At 43.6% G+C, this 20,029-nt stretch overlaps 1 protein-coding gene and 1 long non-coding RNA gene across 9 annotated transcripts in view; both read right to left on the bottom strand.

Moving 5' to 3' along the window:
* Window positions 1-6,625, bottom strand: part of SH2D4A (SH2 domain containing 4A) — an 82,526-nt gene extending 75,901 nt beyond the window's left edge. For 4 of the 8 annotated variants that reach the window (NM_001174159.2, NM_001363111.2, XM_047422080.1 and 1 more), the window contains exons 1-2: window positions 6,239-6,323; window positions 590-974 (exon numbers count right to left, since the gene is read on the bottom strand). In NM_001174159.2, coding sequence (NP_001167630.1) covers window positions 590-770 — 181 coding nt within the window. In that variant the 5' untranslated portion in view covers window positions 771-974; window positions 6,239-6,323. Of the gene's footprint in view, window positions 1-589; window positions 975-6,238; window positions 6,324-6,494 lie in introns of those variants that run through there. The other 4 variants (NR_156444.2, NM_022071.4, NM_001363110.2 and 1 more) reach the window with 2 other exon arrangements.
* Window positions 6,626-8,493: 1,868 nt separating this feature from the next.
* LOC105379306 (uncharacterized) lies at window positions 8,494-19,795 on the bottom strand. Its single transcript, XR_949550.3, has 4 exons — window positions 19,407-19,795; window positions 16,853-16,935; window positions 11,876-12,062; window positions 8,494-8,585 (listed from the first exon to the last, which is right to left on the bottom strand). It is a non-coding gene; the product is annotated as an uncharacterized LOC105379306 (long non-coding RNA).
* Between the last annotated feature and the right edge of the window lie 234 nt (window positions 19,796-20,029).

Raw genomic sequence — 20,029 nt, 5'->3', positions numbered from 1 at the left:
TCCTCCCCCATGGTCTCAAAAGAACCCTCTCAAACTACCAGAGATTCCTTTGATAACGAGGAAAAGTTTACATCTGAGAAACTCATTCACACTAAAAAAAGATAGTATTATGATTTTTTTCCTTATAGCAATTCCTTACATTTTAACAGGAGGTGTTCCCTAAAAAGATACCTCAAAGAAAAATCTCTGAGGTCTAAGAAATGCAAACACAATTGCTATAAATATACTGACACAAGAACTTTGTGTTCTAGTAGTAGCATATTAGGAACCAGTAACAATAAAGGAGATAGAAACCTTTCTTAATACCCCTCAAATCAAACCTCATAGGTGACTTTTTAATACAGCTTCAGGTTAGTCTGGTTTCAAGTAAAAGATTTCCTCATAGCTATGCAACTCCATGGTGAATGCTGTGTGTGTGTGTGTAGACTTCAGGTGGACATACTGCACTATTAGATTCTCAATAACATTTAGGATTCATCTGCCAAACTGGAACTTGCACCTGCTTTGCTTGTGACTAGTGTGAAATTGTCAAAGCAAGCCAGGAGCTGTTCTACCAACACATCCACAGAAGAAACGTGGATAAGTTTACCTTTCTTTGGTCTGGGTTTCACTGGCAGGGACTCCTTTCTTTCCATAGCTGCTTCTCTTTCTTTCCATCGTCGGATCTGTTCCTCTCTCATCTTGAAGAACAGGATCTGTTTCTGTTCTTCGCTGAGCTCTGCCAGTAGATCAGGATCTATGTACATCTCCGACAGTATCTGTTTCAGCATCTTTGCACTTCTGAAGTCTTTTATACTTGTGGCAAAAGTTCCTGAAACTGGCCTCCAGGTGTCCCTCCACCTGTGCTGGCACTTGGGCGTTTCCACGAAACTTCCCAAACAGCTCACAATCCTGGCTGACTGGGACAATAATTCAGCAAACTGGCTACTCAGACCTGGCACCAAATGTCCTGTCCAAAATGCTGTTCACTGAACCTGCAGAGAGAAAGAGCCCACATTCAGGCAGCGTGTTAAAATGTGTGGACACTGGCTAGGACGGGTTTAAAAAAAAAAGCTAGGAGGAAACACAGTATCACTTTTCAGTTCAGAGAGAAAAGAGAAGAAGAAAATCTGAGGCACACTTTGTTAAGAGTTTGTATAACCTCTATCCTGTAATTTCTAAAGATACTCTGTCAAAAAAAAAAAGAAAACAAACCCTAACTTTATACAGGTCAATCTCAGGCAAACAAAAAAAGTTCACAGAGGTTTGTCCAGCTCCCAACTAAGCAAACACATTATTACCCCAGAGCCTAACAAACCACCAACTGTGTGGCTGAAAAAAGAAAGAAAAAAAAAAGTCACAGGAAGAAATTAAAAGGCTCTCTGCAAAGTACCTATTTCAAAAGAAAATACCACTTTTGATATGTCACAGAGTAACTCATCCCAAACCAAACCAAAATAGAGCCATGCTCAAGGAAGAAAAAGGAAGAAATAAAAACTAGACCACCATGCATTTTCTGCAATTTCCCTAAAAAGTAGCATTAAATAAACAAAATTATGTACTTTCCTCTTCACAAAAGGATAATGTAATTTCCAGATAACCTACTAGAGCCATGAAAATCAGGGCAGGTGCAAGAGAGAACATCCATCTACATTCTGGAAGGTCACCGAGTTTTAGGTGTGCTTTTTCCAGATAACCTAGTTTAATAAAATCTAAATGGACAGACCAGATAAACTAGGGGGATGAAGAGGTCATTAGGTTCATAACAAAGGATCCTTCATTTATATGACTTTACCGCATGGCTCCTTGAAAGAGAAACCATAAAGCGAGAGTGCACAGTGGCCTCCTAGAAGTTCTCCTGTGGTTGGAAATCCTACTGAGGTTTCATTCTACTTTCCACATTTCTATTTTAAAATATTGGCTTAAAAATATTACCACACTGTCATACTTTCTCTCTCTATTTTTAAACAATTTCTAAGTCCCATAAACCATCATACTTTTGTAATCAGCAGGAAACTATGTAAATATATCTATTCTGGAAAACAAAAGACTTTGGATTCGATGTAATAAGATATAAGAAAAAAAACTTACTACAACTTTTCAGAATCACATGTGTCCTAAGAAATTGACCAATAGGCCAGGCGGGGTGGCTCACGCCTGTAATCCCAGCACTTTGGGAGGCCAAAGAGGGGGGATCACGAGGTCAGGAGTTCGAGACCAGTCTGACCAGTATGACCAACATCTCTACTAAAAAAACAAAAAATACAGAAATTAGCTGGGCATGGTGGTGGGTGCCTGTAATCCCAGCTACTCAAGAGGCTGAGACAGGAGATCGCTTGAACCTAGGACGCAGAGGTTGCAGTGAGCCGAGATCGCGCCACTACACTCCAGCCTGGGCAACAGAGGGAGACTCTGTCTCAAAAATAAAAAAAGAAAAAAAAAAGAAATTGACCAATAATTTGTTATTTATAATAACACCTCAATAATCTTACCACCTTGCCATGTGCTCTCAAATACGTTGTTTCTCCATACTATGTTCAAACAGTCTTAAACTTCAGACAAGTCACTTAGCTATATTATGACCATCGTAGTGTTGTTGGTTTCTCTTCGTTCACCTTGTCATTGATACAGTTAGATTTGTAATGCCCCTCTCACCATCTGGGGGCCTCCTTCAGCTTCCCGTCTTCCTCCTCTTCCGTGCAAAGTAGTTCCTTGATTTACACCTGTCTTTTGAGACAAGCACGCTCAACAGCTAGGCTACCACAGAGTGGTGTGCATACTCAGCTCTTAGATTCGCTGACTGTTCATTGTGAAGCCAGGCCCTTGATGAAACTACACCTATCCCTACTGACTGCAACCTATCATCTCGGCAGCATTCAACTACCAGAATCCAAATGGAACCAAACATTAAGAGAAAAATTTTAAAGGACTAAAAGTAATATCACGCCCTTCCCAGATCCACTTGCCAACTTTGTATTTTGCATTGAGATACCCTTAAAGGCTTGAACAGCCAAAAAAAAAAAAAAAAAAAAAAATGGATGTCTTGTCAAGATTTCTTGACTTTTGACTTTTTGTTTCTAGCAGCTTCTCAAAGGGTGGAGCCAATGAAATCCACAAGCTCCAAGATAAAGTGGTAAGAAAGGAGACAGAATGACTCCTTGACATTCCAGTAAATGTCCTTAAGTTCAATGGTTGGTTTTCGCAGAAATCACACACGGCAGAAGATGAACAGTTCAGCTGGGGTTGAGACTTCTGCTGTGTTCCCCATTTTGAATGCAGCGAATCCTATTCAAGGCATGGGTAGATCCTAGAATCTAAAACCCTTAAAGTGTCAAAGTCATATTCCTCCAGTCTCCCCCGCCCTGCATATTCCTGATAACACAGCTAACACTTCTTGTACCAGGCACCATCTTAATTAAGCACTCTACATGTGTTAACTCACTTAATCTTCACAATAACCCTTGGAGTCCAGCCCATCACTATGCCCATCTCACAGATTAGGAAGATAGAGCACAGGTCAGCAGCTGGTAAGCGGCAGAGCCGGGCAGTCCAGCTCTAACTCAGCTTCACTGTAATACACAACACAGAGGCCTTTTTGTGAGTTTATTTGTGTGCCCAGAATCAGAACAGCAGGATGTGGTGCCATGTATGAAATTTCAGAATGGAAGCCAGCAAATTCCTGCAGCAACAGAAACGCTGAACTGATGGTGCTTGACACAGGGCAGAAGCCTCCTCCTGGTCAACTGTAGCTAAGCTTAGGGGAGGCCAGGTGCACACACCCCAGCCAGGAAGGACAGCAAGGAACCGACTGTCACACTGACCCAGGTGTGGACATTGCTTACCCACGTATTCACCAGACACTTAGTCCCATTTCCCCTTGCACTTAGTCATCCACTTCGTCTCTACAATTTCCCCTTCCAAACAAACACTAAGAACAGCACAAAAAGCACAGCCTCTCACATGTGCAAGGAGGTTCATGGCACCTCTGTGATGAAATTCTCACATTATTTCCATTTTTATGTTGTTTTGTTTTACTTTTTATAGCAAACGTGGATTTCTAACATTAAAATTAACTAGTTCATCTTGAAGGAAAGACACTGGCTTCCTTGTGCCTCCAAGAATACTTGGGGGACCCAGCCGACAACTATCTGTGGTCAGGCCGTTGACGATGTGGCCATTCTGCCACTGCTGAATGGTACTGGTGTAAATCACCTGTCCCCCTCACCCTCTAATTCCCAACCCCTAACCCCCGCTCCAAGGCTTTCTCAGACCCCAACTCAAGCTCAGCACAGTACACCCAAGACACCCAGAGGCACTCCAGCCTCAACTCCCAGCTCCGCCTCTAGTGAGCGGTGTGACTCTGTGCTGTCACCTCACCTCCTTGGGACTCAGTTTCCTCATCTGTGAAACGAGGACTGGTTCAGTCTGTGACTTCTAATGTGTGGGTATCTGACATAATCTACTGTGAAGCGAAGGAGCCTGGTGGAGCCAGGGTAGAAGAAATAGAAATCAGGAAATTAACTAACTAGGGCTTTCCTACTTTCACTCCCTGACAAGGAAGTAATCATTGCTGATACTGATTCAAACTCAGAGGACTTTCCCATACTATATCAAGGGCAGCAAATCTCCGGTTATTCAAGATCCAACAAAGGAATAGCTCAGCTAACACAGCCCCTTTCTTAAAAGAGAGAAATGATAAGCAACAAGCCCACACCTGCTATTTATTCTGAACACCAATTGCTAAAAGGTCAGAGAATCCGTTGTTTTCCATGATACCATAGATTTGGCCTGATTCTCACACCTTCACACTGTTCTACAATACAACTGTCTTTTGAATAACTCTGAGACCTAAACAAAATACAATTTTAAAAGGCCTTAGATACAGGCTAAATCATAAAAATAGTAGGCGGGCACAGTGGTTCTACATGTAATCCCAACACTTTGGGAGGTGGACATGGGTGGATTGCTGGAGCTCAGGAGTTCAAGACCTGCTTGGGCAACATGGCAAAACTCCGTCTCTACATAAAGTATAAAAATTAGCCAGGCGTGGTGGCCCGCACCTATAGTCCCACCTACTTGGGAGGTTGAGGTGGGGGGATCTCTTGAGTTGGAGAGTTTGAGGCTACAGTGAGCCGAGATCGCACCACTGCACCACAGCCTGGGTGACAGAAGGAGACCCTGTCTCAAAAATTAAAAACATTAGGTCGGTGCAAAAGTTATTGTGTTTTACATGGCCAAAAAAAAAGTAACTGCGGTTTTTTTTACGTAAAAACCGCAATTACTTTTGCACCGACCTAATAAAATAAAAAATAAATAAAAGTATTGTGGTATGGACAGTGTAACTATAACATTAACAATACAGTTTGAATTCTAATTCTTTTAAAACAGCCAGCTCTGTGGTCCAACTTTGTTTTCTTATTGAAACTTTATCTTATTCATCTACCAGCAAAAGGGCTGTTTTTGAGGATGAAACAAATTACCAGAGATGACAGCAGTTTGTAAATATATACTATTCTTCAGAAATTTGAGATTACTGTACACACAGATTTAGTATACATAGAGAATTCCACTCATATGCCAAATCTATGCCCCTGTATGCTTTCCACTTATTTATTCACTATTTTAAAATAATCGTACCCAAGTCGTTGTTTCTATTAAACCAGCAATCAAACGAAAGCCTTTGGAGCGATGAGGAGCATCTGTTTGAAAGGGGGAGGTGCCACGCTTGCTGCTTCTCTAAGCTCCCTGGGAAGGGAGAGACAACTCAGAAAACCTACAAACTGTAGCTCCTTCCGGTGCCCGCGTGACCCCCGAGTCCAGGAGCGGGCAGGGGCGCCGCTTGGCTGAGCGCACTGGGCACCCGGTCTGGGTCTGGGCCAGCCCCGCCGCTGCAGCCCGAGGGAGGCGGCGCTGCACTGGCCTCCGCGCGCTCCCAGACCCCACGTGGGGGCGCCCCTGGGTGCCGGTGCGCGGGGAACGTGCTGCGGGGGTGCTGCGCCAGCTGCCACCGTTTCCCGGGACTTCCCTCCTGGAAGATTTCCATGCGCAAGTCGAGGACGTGCTCCTGCTAGGAGTCTAGAAACTCTAGGCCAGCCCGGACCCTCCCGGGGCCTGCACTCCCCGCGGGTGGAAGCACGCGCCGCGTGTCCCTGCCGGATTCCAGAACTTCCCCGAAGGTCCTCAGCCCCGGCAGACCCTCTCCCTCGAAGTTCCCCCGCCACCCCCTGCAAGCCCCCAGGCCCCGGGGACCGCCGCTCACCTAGCCAGCGGCTCCAGACACCGGACACCGGACACCGGACACCGGACACCCGCCGCGGCCGCTCTCGCCGCCCAACCCCGCACCTGAGCCCGCCCCGGGCGCCGCGAAGGGGTGGAGGCGGGGGTGAGGCTTCCGCCCGCCCGCTCTGGCCCCTGCGCCTCCCATGCACCCATGCAACCTCCGAGGAAATTCCCTTCCCCCTACTCCCACCCCACGCACACTCTCCCCAAAGCCTCGCCCCACCCCCAGCACCTACCAGTGCTGGGCGCCCCTGGGCAGGGTGGCTCGATCACCCGCCACATCCACTTGGCCGCCAGAAGCCGTCGGGGAAGGGAGGGAGGGAAAGGCAGAGGCGTCCCAAGCGGCGCAGGCGGGCTGAGCAAATACTCCGGCCCGGACGCAAAACAGCTCTTGTAGCCGTCCCGCCCGCGCCGCCCCGCCGCGCCCACATGCCGGGGTGACTGGCGGGGCGCAATCGCGGCCCCACCCGGGCGCCTGGAGGCTCTCCAGGGCCACTCGTCGGCGAGGCTGCGTGGCCTGCGCATCTCGGGCCGCCTGGCCCGCGCGCTGTCCCCGAGCTGCGGTAGTCCGGGGTAGGCTTGTCCTCTCCTCTCTTAGTTCATGAGACAGGGATCTGCAGTCTGTGATCTCTTGGGGACTGCAGGACTTAGATTAAATCTGCAGATCTGGGCCTTTCCACGTTTCAGAGCTCGGGGTTCCTTGCTAGGTGTAGGGTAGGAGGGTGCGCAGGCCCCACTTGTTCACTCTGCTTGGGTGCTGCAGGCCAAGGCGACTCTGGAGCTTTTTTTTTTTTTCTTTTGTTGACATTAAGTAAATGATCAAACTCTTTGGCACTTGTCGGTACACGTGTGGCTTTGTAGGACAAGATGAAGGAAGGAAAAGGCTGGAAGGAAGGAGACCGCAGTCAACACAGACAGGTGGAGAAAATGAAAGAAAACTGGGGGAAAAGTTAAGATGCTGAAAGGAGTCTTGAGGATTGCAACAAGAACAGGTTGGCTTGGTGCCTGAAGACGTCAGGGAGGAGCTGGCAGTCCACAGTTAGAGGAAATCTTGGAGGAAAATTGAGCAGAAGCACAGTGGAAAGGCATTTCCACTGGAGGGCATTTTCCATCCTAGAGGAGCATGTGGAAGAAAACCGCCTGCTTTGGTGAACCCCAGATTTTGTGTATTGGGAGAGATGTAATAAACAGTAAACACCAGTAGTCCTCTCCACGGACTACCTGACCTCTTTAGGAGCCTGACCTGCTGGATTCAAACACAAAATGGCATTTCCCTGCCTCTCCAAACTGCAGAAGCTGTGCAGAGTTACATCAAGCCTCGGGGCAGGCGGCATTGTCAGGAAATAAGACCCAGCTATTTAGGAACAATTCCAGGAATCCCATCAGGGAGGAATTTCTGGTGTAAGGCTTAGTTCCTACTGCAGTTTAAATGATAGCATATGGGGTGCTTTAGGCTGGAGTGGGATTGGCCCCTGGAAAGCTGCTATGACGAGGTCAGAATGAATCCTAGCCCTGCATGGATGCATCAGTTGAACCATACAGGGTGGTTTATCAGTTAGGAAAAATCCCACAGGACACTGTGACAGCCTACCTTCCTCACACCCAGTCTCTCTCCAGGTCCTGGCAAGTCCTTCCTTATAACAGCTTTATCACTGTGCTACTAACCTCTGTACCTCACTTTCCTCCTCTAGATAAAGAGTGTCTGCCTCGGTAAGTTGTCAAGAGGGTTAAATGAGATGCTACATGCAAAGAGATTAGAAGAGCTCTTGGCATGTGGTGAGTGTTCAAACACATTCACTCAGATCAGTTCATATCACATTAAGGTACTGGAATTCCACATTCCTGCCATCTCACCCTAGGCTGTGGGTTCTGCCCACCATGCCACCTACCTTCCAAGTCATTCCCAGGGATCCTATCCTCCTGGTATTCACATCCTTGCATAGCTCCCTGCCACTTTGTAAAGGTTGGTATGCTTGACCAATAGAACCCGGCAGAAGTGATGATGGTCTGCCACTTCAGAGATTAGGTAAGGAAACACCTTGGTGCTTCTATCTTGAAATAATATTGACAGCCCAAAGGAACGCACGCTGTACACAAATAATGCAAACAACTCAGAACCCAGACTCTCTTCCCTTTTCTCTCATCTGCCCATTTCCATCCTTCTTGTCTCGTGGCTCTTTCCTATATTTGCCATGAACTCTTCTTCTTCTCTTATTTTTATAGTTTCTTCTCCATCCTCTTCACTTGGTCTCCCCTCTCCTCTATCACCTTCTCTTTTTGTTTCCTTTCTGCTGACTCCTGGAATTTCCTCTTTTAATTGGCATGGTCTGGAAGAGAAAAGGTAGATGTTTTTCCCTTAATTTCAAAAGTAGACAATTCGAATTTTTTTTTTTTTTTTTTTTTTTGAGATGGAGTTTCACTCTTTTTGCCCAGGCTTGGAGTGCAGTGATGCAATCTTGGTTCACTGCAACCTCGGCCTCCTGAGTTCAAGTGATTCTCCTGCCTCAGCCTCCCAAGTAGCTAGGATTATAGGCACCTGTCACCACAACTGGCTAACTTTGTATTTTGTTTTTGTTTTTTTTTTTTGTTTGTTTGTTTTTTAGTAGAGACTAAGTTTGACCATGTTGGCCAGGCTGGTCTCAAACTCCTTACCTCAGGTGATCTGCCTACCTTGGCCCCCCAAAGTGCTGGGTTACATGCGTGAGCCACTGCGCCTGGCCAAGAATGTTTTATAATGCTCTAAAAAAAAATCAGGTGGCCTATTACTTGTGGGGCCTTCAGTTACTTTTTCCCTCCCTTTGGGCCAGTACTCTCAGAGGAAAACATTTCCCCCCTCCATGATCTAGGATGTGTTATAGGGACGAATGTGGGGAAGACTGCTGACAGGGGCTGGCCACTGACGAGTCACAGACATGGAACATGGTAGCACCAACATGTGTTCAGGAATGCTCTGCTGCAGCGTTCACTGCCAGAACTTAAAGAGAAAGCTAAACATCTATTTATTGGTTACTAATATTTTTAATTTGTCATTTATTCGTGGTAATGAATACCATGAAACAAATAGCCTACATTTTAATGGATGTGTTCCTTGGCCTTCCTTTTGGACTGTTGCTTAGGAGCCCTGCTGCCCAGGGCTGTCAAGTAAAATGGCATAGCATGGCCCTTGTACAACTGTGGGTGGGCAGGGGACAAGCACAGAGATCACTATGTGTAAGGCGCCCCCTGGAGTTGTGCAACACTGCCAGCCCTATTGTTGCCAGAAAGACAGGATAAGCCACTTTGCACTTTTTCTGAGATAAAGATTAATCCTTATTTCAGTTCTACAGACAATGAAAATTGCCTTCATATGTTTTCTTTATAAAATAGAGTATTTTTCCTGTCATATTTTATGATCAGCATCAGAAACCTCAACCACTTTTTAACTGTTAGAGCAGGTATACACTTGTACCACAGTGAATGTAACGTACAAATGAAAGAAAAATACAAAAACATTTAAACTTTACTAAAAACTGATCAAATCTCAAAATAAATCTTAATCAGTTCATCAATCATTAAAAATATATTTAGGGTCTGCTGTGTTTTCAGCTCTCTGTGAGCAGTTAGATTTGATTTTGAACTATTTTCATTTGTGTATGGTTCTGTATGGGCCTTTATTTCTTCATCTTCATAAACACCAAGATAAATTATTGGTCTTTACATTCATCTTTGAATCAATTACATTACTGTAATATTTAATGTTTTTCCAAGAGTTACCTTTATGGAGTTCTTTCTCTAAAATCCACACTCTGAGTTGCTAATTAGACATTTCTGGTCTCTCATATGTGTGTGTGTATATATATATATACATATATATATGTGTGTGTGTGTGTGTGTATGTGTATGTGTATATATGTATGTGTGTGTATGTATGTATGTGTGTATATATATGTTTTAGATGGAGTCTCGCTCTGTCTCCAGGCTGGAGTGTGGTGGCACGATCTTGGCTCACTGCAACCTCCACCTACCGGGTTCAAGTGATTCTCCTGCCTTAGCCTCCAGAGTAGCTGAGACTACAGGTGTGTGCCACCACGCCTGGCTAATTTTTTGTATTTTTAGCAGAGGCAGGATTTCTCCATGTTGGTCAGGCTGGTCTCAATCTCCTGACCTCGTGATCTGCATGCCTCAGCCTCCCAAAGTGCTGGGATTACAGGTGTAAGCCACCATGCCCGGTGGTTTCTTATATTTCTGTAATACAGTGACAAGCAGCCCGTGTCTCAGAGAACTGCTCACCTCAAACTTATGGGTGGAATTGGACAGTCGCTATCCCAACGATATGGGACATCTGCAGTGGCCTATGGTAACCAGTGCTTTTTTATGGGTCAAAGCTCTGAGAAAGGAGCAGAAGCAAACTTTTTCTAATATTCTGGTGTTCCTTGGATCTTCCCAGGCAGTTTTGATAAGGTCTACTAGACTCATAAAATCAAATCTCATCTCTTTTTTGGACCAGATTCAGAAATGCGTTTCCATTTCCTAGCTTCTCTCTTACAGGCAATCTTTGCAAAAAGTGCACAAATCCCTTTTAGTTTTATAAGGAATTTTCTGCAAATGAGTACAGCAGTTCTCAAGTACATATTAAAATAACCCAGGGAGATTTTCTTTGTAACATTTGCCTCTTTGTCTACTCCTCCAAGGAGTTATTTGATTGGGATGAGATGGAGCGCAGATATCAGCATTTTTTCAAAGCATCCAAGGGGATACTAATGTGTGGCCAAGGTTGAGAGCCACTAAAATATATGGAAATAAAGTTAATTGGCTATGAGAAATGTTGAAAAAGCAGTAATGGCACTTCCTGGACTTTACTGAAACATATATAAGGCTAGATAATCATCTTCTTCATTCTGGTTTTTGAGTGAGTTCCTAAACTCAGTCTGAGATAGACTTTCCACCAAACCCAGACTGTCATTTAATAGGATGGGAATGAAATGAGATGCATAAGATGACAGTGTCTGGCTTATTATGGGATGCGCAACATACACAAGTTTTACTTCTTTCCTTCCTTCCACTTCTTCCTGGTTTTGAAACCCCCGACATTCCCTCTGGCCCTTTAGCTGAGGAAGGCATTTCCCTCTTTGGCACCAAAGGCTCGCCCACTCCCACACACACCCCATGCATGGCTCCAAGTGTCCTCCAGATTTCTCTAACTGGAAGTTGAAGTGCATTCTGCCCTTTGGTAAAGTAAGACACTTTGCCTCTTCCTCTAAGTGTATGTTTGAATCAGAGCCAGCTTATGGCCTCTTCGATAAGTGCCATTGTTTAAGTTTGAAACAGAGTTGGTTTTGACTGGTGTGTTGGTATTTTAAGGACAATTAAATGTATACAACACCTGGCATAGCTTCTAGTGAAAGGGCATGGCCCATAGATGACAGATCATTCTACACAAATAGAGAAATATGAAAGAGGGTAGCTCCCTGAACCCTTCACAGAGAGGGTTCTAGATTCATAGAAATTATATTGCCACATTCACCAATTTAAATATCACAGAACTAGTCAGTGGCATACAGAATTAAAACAAAGACTTTCTGATGCCTAATCTCTTTACATAGTTATTACACTACGTTAACTTAACTAGCTCATTTACCTTACTGAATTTGAGAGTGAAAGTGAAGCAAGTCACCATCGGGTCTCTCTTCTAACAGACAGCACCTATGTCTCTTGATGGAGAGCAGATGGGAGCTACCTCCAAAGCTGCACTGGTTCATGGCCGGCTGGATGTGTAGATGACTCGGCTCCAGTTTCTACTCAGTCCTGGGTTCAGAGTTGAAGACCTGCAAGTCACACACAAGCTTTTGAGCCTGAACAAAGCAACAACTCTTTTTTTTTTTTTTTTTTTTGACTGGGTTTTACTCTATCACCCAGGCTGGAGTGCAGTGGCTTGATAACTGCTCACTGCAGCCTCAACCTCCCAAGCTCAAACGCTCCTCCCAAGTAGCTAAGACCACAGGCATGTGCCACCAGGCCTGGCTAATTTTTTTTTTTTTTTTTTTTTGAGACGGAGTCTCGCTCTGTCGCCCAGGCCGGACTGCGGACTGCAGTGGCGCAATCTCGGCTCACTGCAAGCTCTGCCTCCCGGGTTCACGCCATTCTCCTGCCTCAGCCTCCCGAGTAGCTGGGACTACAGGCGCCCGCCACCGCGCCCGGCTAATTTTTTGTATTTTTAGTAGAGACGGGGTTTCACCTTGTTAGCCAGGATGGTCTCGATCTCCTGACCTCATGATCCACCCGCCTCGGCCTCCTAAAGTGCTGGGATTACAGGCGTGAACCACCGCGCCCGGCCTAATTTTTTATTTTTTGTAGAGATGGGGTTTTGCCATGTTGGCCAGCCTGGTCTTGAACTCCTGGCCTTAAGCCATCCTCCTACCTCAGCCTCCCAGAGCACTGGATTACAGGTGTGAGCCACCGCACCCAGTGTGTGACTCATCTTAAGTACAATAAGAAGGTATTGATGGAAAACCAAACAATTCCAAGTGATTCTTTTAGATCAAATTCTGACCCAGAGAGGAAATATAAAGAAAAAACAAGGAAGAAGAAAATGAGAAGAGACAGAGGAATCAATACCAGAAGGATAAAAAGAATGGAGGAGATTTTTTAAAAGAAATCTGTAATATAGTTGATTTTATAAGTGAGCTTCACTTTAGTACGTTCCTGTAGAGTCTCAAATCCACACTTCTTTTTAATAGAGAAATGGTTCACACAAGAGAGAAAGGAAGAATGCCTCTGGGCTTCAGAAATTATCTTGAGAGTCTTTAATGAAAGAAGAATTCCTGCCCAATACTGAACTTAAAAGTATGAATTTCATTGTTAGTTTTGGTATGTGGCAAGCAGAGTTTCCAAATTGTTTGAATAAACAGTCTCATTAAATGCCCAGGAACAAAAGACTCCAATCTTACTTTTTTTTTTTTAAGACAGTATTTCCTAGTTAGATTCCAAGGAAGAAACATGTCACTAAAGATTTACATGACACTTAATGCTCCAATACTGTTTCTAGTCCTCTGAGTGAACTACAAATGATAATGACACCATAAATCTGTGCAGATTAACTTTGCAAAGAACTTTCAGACTATTACTTCCTTCTGTCCTCATAATATGTTTGGTGAGGCAGGCCCTTGTGATCCTCAATTGACACACAAAGACGCTTGGGTACAGGGAGTATCAATGACTTGCCTAGGTTTACATAGTAACTTGGGCAGTTGGGGAACCAGGGCTGGGACTCAAGACCTCTAACGTGCAGTCTAAGGCTCTTTCTGCTACACCATGCTGTCCCCAGCACACCCTCATTTTCCCAGTTACATTGCATGTATCAGGAAGGCTGGAACTTAACCTCATTATATTTCTGTTCCCAGAGCCTAGCTCAGTGCATGGTATACAGTGAGTACTTAACATATGTTTGTTGAACAAATGAATGCATGTAAATTTGGGTTAGCCTAGAGAGAGCCAGAGCCTTCCTGATTAACCTGAGTAAGCTCACTTTTGGAAATTAAGCCTAAGTGGCTCTGTAACTTAATAGCTATTAATATGTTCTATAGAATACCTTAACCTCAGGCATGGTTCCTGTAGCCTGAGTGTTCTAAGATGAGATGCTATTCTGTATAAAAGGAGGAGGTGATCTGATGGAGATGATGTTATTATCCTGTCACAGAATCATATGCTTTTATTTTATTTATTTTTCTTTTTTTTGAGACTGAGTCTCGCTCTGTCGCCCAGGCTGATATTCAGTGGCACCATTTCGGTTCATTGCAACCTCTGCCTCCTGGGTTCAAGCAATCCTTGTGCCTCAGCCTCCCGAGTAGCTGGGACTACAGGTGTGTGCCACCTCACCCAGCTGAATTTTGTATTGTTGGTAGAGACAGGGTTTCACTATATTGGCCAGGCTTGTCTCGAACTCCTGACCCCAGGTGATCCGCCTGCCTCAGCCTCCCAAAGTGCTGGGATTACAGGCGTGAGCCACCGTGCCCGGCCTGAGACACCATGCCCGTCCTATTTTTATTTTCTCTTGAAGTTTTATTATTTTTCCAATTATTATTCATTACATGCAGTGATATATATATATTTTATCCCTAAAATGTGAGTGATACTGATTTGAGTAACCATTGTGTTGAAATACAGCATTTCTAGAACTCTGACACAGTGATTAGTATTTACATGATTCATCTTACAACTTTAGTAATATGCCGTCTTGAATTATTATTCAATCATTTCATTATTCTTGATTCCCCAACTAGATTGTAAATTACTTTAGACCATGACTTGTGTATTTATTTTATTTATTGTATATTCCCCTCATGCCTAATGAAGGACTGACTGCACAAAGATGAATTTCAGAGTGTCTAAATCAAAGGATGTAGAATTCTCTTGACACTTTAGAGTAGTTTGAAAATGTTTGTAAGATAATTTTCTTTTTAATTTATATTGATCCAACTAAACAAATACTATAGTTAGAATGAAATGTTTTATTAAATTCTTCATAGTCTTTCATAAAAGCCATATATATACATACACATATACATATACATATGTGTGTGTGTGTATGTGTGTGTGTGTGTGTGTGTGTGTGTGTGTATATGTGTATATATATATATATATATATATAGTTTTGTTTTGTTTTGTTTTGTTTCATTTGAGTCAGAGTCTCACTCCTGTTTCCCCACTGGAGTGCAGTGGCACAACCTAGGCTCACTTCAGTCTCAACTTTCCAAGATCAGATTATCCTCCCACCTCAGCCTCCCAAGTAGCTGGGACCACAGGCATGTACCAATATGCCCAGCTAATTTTTTGTACTTTTTGTAGAGATGGGGTTTCACCATGTTGCCCAAAGTGCTCTGGAGCTCACGGGCTCAATAGATCTGTACGCTTTGGCCTCCCAAAGTGCTGGGATTACAGGCATGAGCCACTGTGCCTGGCCAGTAGCTATATATTTTTATAATAAAACTTTTTTTTTTCCTAGGGCAAACGATAGAGACAGAATTGAGGGTGCTACTTCTAGAATGTTTGAGTCAAAAAGCCATACATGGCTCTCCTCTTCCTTCCCTTCCTGCATTTCTTCTCTTCTTGCTTTTCATCTCTTCGTACTCACATGATATGCTTGGAACACACAGGGGTGTAGTTTCCATTGATCACGTGAAAGGAAAATGAATGATTGCTTCTGCTTGTTCATCGAACATGTGGTAAGCCTCTGTTAGTGCTGGGGGAAAATGAAAGGAAACAGTCCCTGATGGTAGTGAGCATAATATCTAAAAGGGTAAAATGTCGTGAATGAAAATAATTATAATGCTTTAAATAAAGAAGTAGAAAGTATAAGTGCCAAAAAGGCCACAGAGATGAAGTTGTGGGCATTCAGGAGGAGAGACATTACATCAACATGGAAGGATCAGTAGGGTTTTCATGGAGGATGTGGTATTTCAGATGGGTCTTCAAGGAGGAATCTGACATAGACAAGCAGAAATGAGACACAAGGCATTCCAGGCAAAGAGATTCTAAGAACAAAGGCTTAGAGATAAGAAAGATGGCCTTATATAGAGAACTGTGATTCTAGGGTGATGAAGAGGAGTTAGGAATGATATGGCCAGTGGGATTCTTTAAGATTAGACTGAAAGGAGCCAGGAAAGCAGGACCAAAATTATATACTTTTCTCATTCACTATTGGTGAGCTTTTAGAGGGGAGTACTGTATTTTAGAAAGATTAATCTGGCAGTACCTGAACAAGGAGAGATTGAAGGCAAAGTGAACATGTTCAAAACAAGGGCTTAAATTACAGTGAGAGGAATAAAAAGGAGGAAGAAAATTGATATAATTTAGATAATACTGGAGGTGGAGGCTGGTTTGGATCATGGGAGCGGATCCCTCATGACTTGGTGCTATCTTCAAGATAGTGAGTCAGTTCTTGCGTTATCTGGTCATTTAAAAGTGCGTGGTACCTCCCCCATCACCCCACTCTCTCTCTCTTCATCCTGCTTTCACTGCCATGTAATGTGCCTGTGGTCCCACTTCACCTCCACCATGAGTAAAAGCCCCCTGAGGCCTCCCCAGAAGCTGAGCGATGTTGGCCCCATGCTTCCTGCAAAGCCTGCAGAACCCTGAGCCAATTAAACTTCTTTTTGTTATAAATTGCCCAGACTCAGGTATTTCTTTATAGCCAGACAAGAGCGGTCTGATACAAGGATACAAAATAGACTGATGAATAGAACTGCAATGCTTCCGTACTAGTGAGGAATGGGGAGGGAGGGCCAGTGCTAGGAAGACCACAGAACCAGTTTCAGCTCCCATGCTTTAAGTTAATATGGTAGAGACCTCTACTACAATACCAAACAGCCGCTGCATTATCTTGTCATTTGGGCTTATGGGAACTTTGAAGGCAAAACAGGTGAACTGGCCTATGACCAACACAATTATGTCTCCTTCTTTTGCTTGAATTTCTAATTTCCTTGTTGGCTGGTGAAACCATCTCCCTCCAGAACATTAGGGGCCTCTTACAAAGCTACATGATCCTGCATCAACACTACTGCTAAATTTTTTATGTAATCCTATGACTGTTGTTATCCAACTCAGCCATCTCACTTACCCAAGCCCAGAACAGCCTCAGGGGTCCTAGAAAATCCCACGGTCAATTGAGTCAAACATCAAGAAGGCTGGCATGGGGAGAGACTAAGGGAGAAAAATGGAGCCTCAATTAGAAGGCCATTTTATGTATCTGCTTGTGCTCACCTTCTTTGAGTCTATGACTAAAATCTCCACATCAACTCTCTAAACACAGAATGTTCTGGAAAGAAATCTAATCTGCACACCAAAAGTTGTCCTGACATTATATTTTATGGTCTCTTCATCTTATAAATGGTAAACTCCACTGGTTATCATAAAATTTATTTTAACTTCCCCTTCTTCACATACCTTCTTATGAGAATGGGAGAAATTCATGGGGCAGAGTCACAGAGTCACAGGGACAGTTGGGATTGTGCATGAGGCTGAACACATAAAATTTTAAGGCTCTAGGATTTGGGGAACATTCTCTTAATAAGAAGTTTTTAGTAGTCTGCCTGATCTTTCCAATTTGGATAAGTCATCGTTTGCTGCATTACAAACACTCAAAACCTAGTGGCTTTAAATGGTAATACTGCACTATTTCTCATGAGTCTGTGGGTCAGCTGAGTGCTGGTCTTGCCTGGTCTCAGTCCCATTCTAGCTCCCCTAGAAGCTGGAACAGGCTGGAATTATCAGGCCTCTCCCTGCACGTGGTCTTTCATTCTCAAGGAGTCCAGGCTGGCTCTTTTATATTTTCACATTGTAGTGGCAGCATTTCAGGAGGACAAGCCCCGAAGCAACACATGTACCAATGTCCTCTTGGCTGAGGCAAGCCATGTGGGCTAAGTCTAGAGTCAATTAGGAGAGGACCATACAATGACATGGATGCTGAAAAGTGTGATTTATTGAGGCCTGTTGGTGCAACAGTCTACCAGACAGTCTAATATAGAATTCTCAGCATATGAACAACATGCCCTGGGATGCTCAATTTTTTACAAGAATTTATTCTCTGGTGTCCTGGGATGATTTTTTTCTGCAGATGTAGAGTGTCTGGACAACTCATAAATTAGACAAACTACTCTGGGGCTTTCTGCAGGGATCTGCCTATTCTTCTCCTCCCTTCCCTCCCTCCCTCCCTCCCTCTTCCCTTCCCTTCCCTTCCTTCCTTCCTTTCATTCCTTCTTTCCTTCTTTTCCTTCCTCTGTTCTTTCCTTCGTTCCTTCCTCCCTCCCTTCCTCTCTTCCTTTCTACCTTCTACCCTCTCTCCCCCTTCCTTCTTTCCTTCCTCATTCCTTTCCTCTCATCCTTCCTTCCTTCCTTCCTTCCCTTCTTCCCTTCCTTTCCTTCCCCTCTTCTTTCCTTCCTCCCTCCCTTCCTCTCTTCCTTTCTACCTCCTACCCTCTCTCCCTTCCTTCCTTCCTTCTTTCCTTCCTCATTCACTTCTTCTCTTCCTTCCTCCCTCCCTCCCCTCCCCTCCCTTCCCTTTCCTTCCTTTCTTCCTTCCTTCCTTCCTTTCTTTTTTCCTTCCCTCTTTCCTTACTCCCTTTCTTCCTCTCTTCCTTTCTCCCTCCCACCTTTTCTTCCTTCCTTCCTGCTTTTCTTTCTGTTGTTTTTTTTTCATGGAATCATTTGAATATTTGAGCCCCGTTATTAGGATTAATCCCTCAAACCCTTTATTTGACAAATATAGAAAATGAGGACCAAGAAAGGCAATGACTTGCCAGGCTAATTTAGAGGACATTAAAAACTAGAATTCAGATCTTTCAAGCATCACTCTAGTGAACTTTGCACAAGTAAATTACCTCCCTCTTCATGTCCCGTGCATACCTGATCTCCAGTTGTCTTTTTTTATGTTAAATTATACATTTGAGGACTTCTTATCTAATGTTTCATTTAGTTTTCCATGTTTCTAATTATTTTATTTGGCATTTCCTCTACTTTTCAATACTGAGAATGTTCCTTTATTAGTTCATAATTTTGAAATAATTTCATTTTTATCACTTCTAACATTAAATTAACTATTGGAGACACTAAAGAGAAATGGCCCCAAACCTGATCTTATAGCACTGAACCAGATGTGTTCCCAAAACTATGTTCCCTCCTGTTTATTACTAACTTTTATTTACCTTGTTTTAACTGCTATTCTGACTGCAAGACTATGGTCTAATACTTGATAATTTTTTTTCCAGGAAAAAAAGTTACCACTTTCCATCAACCAACCCACAACTTGTAGCTATAAGTAAATTCAAAGTAGCATCTTTTATTGATTTTATTTTTCATCAAGCCTAAAGGTACAATTTAACAAACAATGAAATGCCATATAGGAGTTAGACTTTTAAGTTCTTCTTTCTGCTGTGTCTTTTCTGTGAGTCAGAATTTCCCAGAACATAAGCCATTATGTGGGAATAGGTTAGGCATCTCTGGAAACCACATCAACACCATTAGCTTGTGCTACCGGATTTAAAGCAGGAAGTAACTTGGGCATTAGGACAGCAGGTCCCTGAACAAGTCATATATTTATATACATATATATACATATACATATGGTTCATGTTGAAAACAAAACAAAACCAAACAAAACCCTACTTATTACCTACCTCCTGAGTTCTAATGCTAGTTCCATGAGGGGCCTGTCACCCACAGTTTGCTTTGAGTTTCATCATGATCAACACCATCACTGATATCGTTTGGATATTTGTCCCCTCCAATCTCACGTTGAAATTTACCCAGTGTTGGAGGTGGGGCCTGGTGGTAGGTGTTTGGGTCATGGAGGTGATCCCTCATGTCTTGGTGTTGTCCTCACGATCTTGAGTTCTAAAGAGATCTGGTTGTTTAAAAGTGTGTGGCACCTGCCACCGCCAACATCTGTCTCTTGCTACTGATCTCATCATGTGACATGCAAACTTCTGCTTCACCTTCCGCCATGAGTAAAAGCTCCCTGAGGCCTCCCCAGAAGCCAAGCAGAAGAAGCTTTTGCCATGCTTCCTGTCTGGCCTGCAGACAGAAATGTGAGCCAATTAAATCTCTTTTATTTATAAATTGCCCAGTCTCAGGTATTTCTTTATAGCAATGCAAGAATGGCCTAAGACAATCATCATAATCATTATTAGCCATAGAATTCTCCTTGTCATCAATAACAAAATTTTTGTTCAGGCCCAAGTATATTTGAAGGGAATGAAGAGAAGAAAGGGGGCTACACTCAGAGTGACGTCAGGGTGTT

Source organism: Homo sapiens, chromosome 8 (assembly GCF_000001405.40).
Source record: "Homo sapiens chromosome 8, GRCh38.p14 Primary Assembly".
Taxonomy (NCBI): Eukaryota; Metazoa; Chordata; class Mammalia; order Primates; family Hominidae; genus Homo; species Homo sapiens.
The sequence above is the reverse complement of the archived record's forward strand: the minus strand, read 5'-3'. Positions and strand labels throughout refer to the sequence as shown.